Below are 6,375 nucleotides of genomic sequence, written 5' to 3'. Positions count from 1 at the left end.
TGACAAACACAGTGCTAGATGCTGATGATATAGAAATGTCTAAACCCGATCTTAAGGACTGACTAACACACTGACACACAATACTGACTTCTCTCTAGATCTACCAGGACTCTTAAAAAACACTGATGGCCAGGTATCAAGCCCAAATATTCTGATATAAATGGTCTGGATTAAAGCCTGTTTATTGATATGTATTTTTAAATCGGTCTAAATGATTCCAATGTGCAAACCGAGTTTATACCCAGTGGGAAAAACAAATCCATAGAAGGGCAATTTCAGTGATATAGTGATTAAATATCCTGTTCTGGAGTCCTTGAGTTCAAATATTCTGCACTCCTCTCCTTAAGTTATGTGATGATTTACCCAATCTCTCTGATATTCAGATTGCTTTTCAGTAAAATGGGAGCAGTAATAATACCCAGCTGCTAAGATTGTTGGGAAGAATAGGTCGGATATTACAAGCAAAGCACTTTGTAGTGTCTGGGGTACAGTAGCCACTAGGCCGAGTGTGCTGTGGAAACATGTGAGTTAGAGAAGGCCTCTAAGAGGGAGGATACCTCCTTCTCTGACAGGGTGCCACCATAATTTTGTGGTATAAAATGGAGGTCAGTTATCCTCCTGGAATAGTGAACTCACCGGGATCTCTCAAATCTTCTCCCCTTGCATGAATATCAAAGCCAACAGAGTGTATGAAATTGTTTCAACTATGCAATAGGAACAAAAATACCTTTTTTTCAGGATTATTGTGAGGATGAAATGAAATAGACACACAAAGAGTGCTTATCATATAGTAAGTCTGCAACAAATGTGTCCCACTTTCCTATACCATGGGCCACAAGAGTATGCCCAATAAAGCTTAGGCTGTCTCTTCCATTACACATATCTAGCCACCTAGTATCAGAAAGTCTGCTCCTATGTCTGTTTACTTATCCATTTATCCATGTGACGAATATGTATTAAATACTACTATGGCCTGTGTGGATACAGGGGTGAATCAAGCAAACACAATTCATGATCTTGTGGAGCTGGCATTTTAGCAACAGGGCCAGAGTAGAGGCAACTAACTGCAGATAAATTACCTTTCCATTAATTTATTCTATCATTAATTATCCTAGTTATTGTGGTAAGTGCTCCAAAGGTATATGGGGTCAAAGACGCTTCCTGTGGAAATAAGTTCTGAATTGGGTTTTGAAGGATGGGTAGGAACTGACTGTGTGAGGGGAAAGGAAGAGTGCTTCTGGCACAGGAAGAACATGAGTGAAGATCCTAATTCATGGGGAGAATGGGGAGTTGAGGAAGCCAGTGTTTCTGGAGCACAAAGAGTGAGCAGGAGAGTGTTCCATGAGGCTGGCAAGTGATGCAGGGCCAGATCCTGCATGGCCTCAAAGGCCATGTTGACTATTTCTCTCTTACTCCAGCAAACAATGGAGAAGCTTTCAAGGATTATTATACTTTTCAAAAATGGGAATAACAGTGATGTGCCAAGAAGAAAGGCGCTCATAACCACAACTATTTCCTAAAGAAGATGAAATCTATTGAAGGGATACTCTTATGTCATCAGAGCATATGGAAGACCTGGGTATCTAAGTAGGAGTTGAAGCCTCTGGAGAGTTGAGTGTTTTACCAAGTAAAGTGAAAACAACTCAGAGATCCTGAAGAAATCAGGAAAATGTGGGGTGAAGAGAAAATATGGAAAGGAGAAAGAGGAGAGAGAACCAGGAGATGATGAAGATCATGTCTAATATGATTATCAGACCTTTTAAAGAAATATCAACATTTGTATAAGGCCCATTATACCAGTTGCTGTCTGGTTGATTGATGGGTATTGGCTGATTTGGTTTTCTTTGTTTTGCAGAAATACAGGTATATTAATTTCCTTTTGCTGCTCTAGCAAATTACCACAAACAGGGCCTTAAAACAACATGAGTTTATTATCATACAATTCTGGATGTCAGGTGTCCCAAGTGGGTTTCACTGGGCCAAAGTCAAGATGTTTGTAGGACCCTTGCTCACTGGAAATTCTATGGAAGTCCATTTCCTTGCCTTTTTCAGCTCCTAGACCTGTATTCTTTGCATTTTTTTGGCTCATGGACCCTACCTCCATCTTCAAAAAGAAGTGTAGCATCTTCAAGAATCCCCTTTCTCACTGACCTCCCATATTCCTCTTATAAAGACGCTATGATTACATTGGGCCCACCTAGATAATCCAAAGTTATCTCCCCATCTCAAGATTTTTAATCACACCTGTTAAGTTCCTTTTGCTGCGTAAAGCAAAATATCTGCAGATTCCAGGGATTAGGAATTGGATATTTTTGGGGAGGTCATTATTCATCCTACCTCTTTAGGTATTCTGCTAGTTCATTAGGTGAGAATGAAAATTTGCCCTAATTTTGAAAGGTGAGATCTGGGACACCTGGATATATAAAATAATATGGGTTAAGGGATAAATTAAAATTATGTATTCTTTATTTCTAGTCTTTTTTATTACTCCACATTTCATAAATATGTAAAAACTTTTATTGAAGTGTGAAGGTAATATGTCTTGTCAACATTTCATTCATTTGGCAAGTATTCACTGAGCATATATAGGTACCAGGCATTGAGCCCAAGAGCACACAACCAAGTGTAAGATATGACAGTTGCTTTCATGAAACTTCCATTTTATGAGGCAGAAGGAGAAGGAAATAGATAATTTTACTACAGTGTGATAAAAGCGATGAAAGGTATAATCACAGGGTGTTAAGGCAAAATATAGGAGCAACACCCACCCAACTTGATCAAAGAGGGAAAGAAAATGGATCCCAGATATATCCATCAGGACTCAACTACACAAGCAGAACTGGGGATTTGACCATATGAAATTGTGGGAGCAGTATAAGTAGTCTAGTCTCTGAAATCTGTCATCTTCACATCCGATCCTGGAACTTGAAATATGCAGGGCAGGCTGTTGGGAGGGAAGGTGTATGTGAAATGGGAAGAGCCAAGGACAAGGTAGAACCCACAAGCTCAGAATTGTGTCCATCTCTTACTGCTTCCAATATTGATGTTGATGATGTGGGTATTTTGCAGGAGAAGCTGAATCCCTTGTCAATAAAACTAAACTCACCTGGCCCAGAAGTCAGAGAAGCTGAAGGAGAATGTAGGGGAAGCTGGAGTGGCTGCCATACAATACTAGAGAAGTGACCCAGCAAAGAAAGGAAAACATACTTGAACTGCAAGTTGCCACATTACAAATTCAGATGCCACTACATCTGAATTAACAGAGAAAAAGTGCTTTCATCTAATTACAAGTAATTTACTGTGGCTAGAATGGCTTATGCTCAGGTGGGGATATGGGGATCCAGAGAAGGTAAGGTGGGAGGAGTGAAGGATAAGCCTGAGCCTTAAGTCGAGAAAGATCATTGATGAGGTTTTATAATTCTGATGGCAATGCGAGTACTGACTGTGATGGACTATCCAATCTTTCTTTTAAAAAGCTCAAATCCATTAGCATAAAGTAATCTTCCCTTGGGTATCAGCTCTTTTCATTCTTCTTTCTTCCTCATAGTTGTACCCACAAACTCCTCCACTTTCCCCTACACTCTTATTGCTCAATACCTGTACCCAGAACACATTTCCTTCTCCCCTTTCCCTTCTTCAAGTTCCATATCTTTTTTGTTAACACTGCCCTAGGCAGTCTTTCTCCCAGCATGATAGAAATGACCACACTATGTGTCACTAGACTGTGCCCATCCTGAGATCAGGAACCTTGTCTATATCATCCAAATGTCCCCACTGCCTAACACAGTATCTGGCACTTAGAAGGTGCTCAGTAGAGCTTCCGGACTGAATCAAGTTCCCAGAGCTTCTCATCAAACACTTTGCTTATGTTATTTTCAATTGTCTTAGTGGTTTTGATGAAATAGGGCTTCTGATCACTGTCAGACATACAGAGGCACTAGTTCTCTCAGATTTCTATATTTGAATAGAGAATTAAGAAGTAACAGTAAAAGCTTCCAGAATTTTTCAGAAAAGCATCTACAAACAGACTCAAGTTGTCAGGAGGGAAAGAAAAATCATTCTTCTTCTAAGGTCAGCTCCAAGACATTGTTGGACTTCCCATTGTTTATGAATGATGAATGTCATCATCATTCTCTTCTATAAGGCCTTATCATTCTTGACATCTTTACTGTCTGTAGGACTGTCTATCTGGCCATTGGGTGAGTTATAATTGTAAAGAGGCTTCAATTTTTTGATGTAGAATAATTTAAGCAATTTTTGGAAGTTTTGTTTAAGAGGTGCAGAGGTCAGTTTATGGGCTTTTTTCTTAAAAATATCATAGGTTATTTCAGCCAACTGTTTGATCATAGGGTCTTCATCTCGGAGCAGTCGTTCAATAACTGTAATATCAGAAGAGACTTTAGTTCAAGTTATCTCTTTCTTAGAGGCCATGAAGCTTTAATACTAAACAGCCCTGCCACCTTTCACAGAGTGCCCCCTTCTCTCCATCTCTCCTCTGCATTCCCTCTGCATTTTGTAACTTTGGCTGATAGCATTCAGGAAGTTTTATCATCTATCCCTACTAAAACCCCACATAGACCCCATTAAAAGAAAAATGGGAATATTCACTAAAAATTACCAAGGACCTTTTATGTGCTGAGCATTCTGCTAGATAACATAAACATGTATTCATATATTTAGGAAGAGGTTCATATTGGTCATAATAATGAAAAAGTTAAAATCAGTCTCAATGTTCATTAACAGGGAACTGCTTAAAAATTAGGAACATAAAATGAAATGCTACATACATATTAACATAATGTAGGCCCATATTTCTTGGCTTAGAAAGATGTTTATATTATAAAGGTAAGTGAAAAAGTTAAAAAGCAGTTATGATAGTTTAAAAAAATATATAATAGCTTTCATTCTTTAGAAATATCCTGGATAGGCCAGGCACGGTGGCTCATGCCTATAATCCCAGCACTTCGGGAGACCGAGGCAGGTGGATCTCGGGGTCAGGAGATCGAGACCATCCTGGCTAACACGGTGAAACCTCATCTCTACTAAAAATACAAAAAATTAGCCGGGCATGGTGGCATGTGCCTGTCGTCCCACTTACTCAGAAGGCTGAGGCAGGAGAATCACTGGAACCCAGGAGGCAGAGGTTGCAGTGAGCTGAGATCACACCACTGCACTCCAGCTGGGTGACAGAGGGAGACTCCGTCTCAAAAAAAAAAAAAAAAAAATCCGGGATAATACATATACCAAAATGTTAATATCATTATATCCAGATAGTGGACTGTGAGAAATTACTATTTTATTTCTCGATAAAAGAAATAGAAACAAAGGGGGAGATTTAGAAAACAGAGATGAGAAGAGCAGGATGGGGGGAATGAAAGAAGAAAATGACTGTAAGAAAGAAAGATGGAAAATTCTAGTGTTTGACATTTAGCAGGTAGTCAAATATGTGTTGAATGAATGAATGAGTGAGTGAATGAATGAATGGATGAGTGAATAAGGAAGGAAGGTAATGATGTATAAATGTAGGTCCATGAATTATAATAAATGTACTACTCTGGTGGGGGATGTCGATAATGGGGGAGGCTATGCATAGGTGAGGAGAGAAGGTACTTGGGAAGTCCCTGTACCTGCAGCTCAATATTGCTGTGAACCTGAAACTGCTCTAAAAAATAGTCTATTAAGAAAGAAAAAGGAAGGAAGGCAGCCAACTTGTTTTTATAACTCACTATTTGTAATTCTTACCCTGATGGGACGATAGACAGAGGCTAAGGGAGATTCCTAAGACCCAAACATTTTGATAGACTAATATTACCCTTCTTTAATTCCCTCCTCTGCAAATGTATTGTACATTGCTATCCACTAAAATGTGAATTCTCTGAGGGAAGAGACTGCTTTATTTGCAACTCTGTCCCTAGCAGTAAATAGTGCTGTCACGTAAACATAAGAGATGCTAAAAAATATTTGTTAGATGAATGAGTAAATGAGTTTTCAACTTTCTGAAGTTCCCAAGGGCTCTAGGATGATAGTTCTCAGACAATTAGTGGAATACATGGAGAGACTGAAACAGGGAAAGAGAGTAAGGGGAAATAGAATAGAAAGAGAAAAAACAAACCTCTTAACCCAGTCCTTTCATTGATTCTTCCGTAATTATCCAACTACTACTACCACCACCCTCTTCCTGTCTGGCCTGGCACTCTAACAGAACTCATATGTGACTAGAATTAAAAATAGTAAATGTATTTAGATTTATGCATAAAGATTTTGTTATAACCTCAATACTCACCATCAAGCATGACTTCGATTTCATCTCTAAGCAGTAAATGACCACCTGATTTTGCCAAATATCCTATGCACATAATAAAAATTAAAGTTACT

The 6,375-nt window shown here is 38.9% G+C and overlaps 1 protein-coding gene across 4 annotated transcripts in view; it reads right to left on the bottom strand.

Annotated features, from left to right (window-relative positions):
* Positions 1-3,712: 3,712 nt before the first annotated feature.
* MROH9 (maestro heat like repeat family member 9) overlaps positions 3,713-6,375 on the bottom strand; it is a 129,232-nt gene continuing 126,569 nt past the window's right edge. For all 4 annotated transcript variants that reach the window (NM_001163629.2, XM_011510006.3, XM_011510005.3 and 1 more), the window contains 2 exons: positions 6,284-6,346; positions 3,713-4,379 (listed from right to left, as the gene is read on the bottom strand). In NM_001163629.2, the coding sequence (NP_001157101.1) occupies positions 4,138-4,379; positions 6,284-6,346 (305 nt within the window). In that variant the 3' untranslated portion in view covers positions 3,713-4,137. The remainder of the gene's footprint in view (positions 4,380-6,283; positions 6,347-6,375) is intronic.

The sequence above is a fragment of the Homo sapiens genome, chromosome 1, assembly GCF_000001405.40.
Source record: "Homo sapiens chromosome 1, GRCh38.p14 Primary Assembly".
In the NCBI taxonomy this organism is placed as follows: domain Eukaryota; kingdom Metazoa; phylum Chordata; class Mammalia; order Primates; family Hominidae; genus Homo; species Homo sapiens.
The sequence above is the reverse complement of the archived record's forward strand: the minus strand, read 5'-3'. Positions and strand labels throughout refer to the sequence as shown.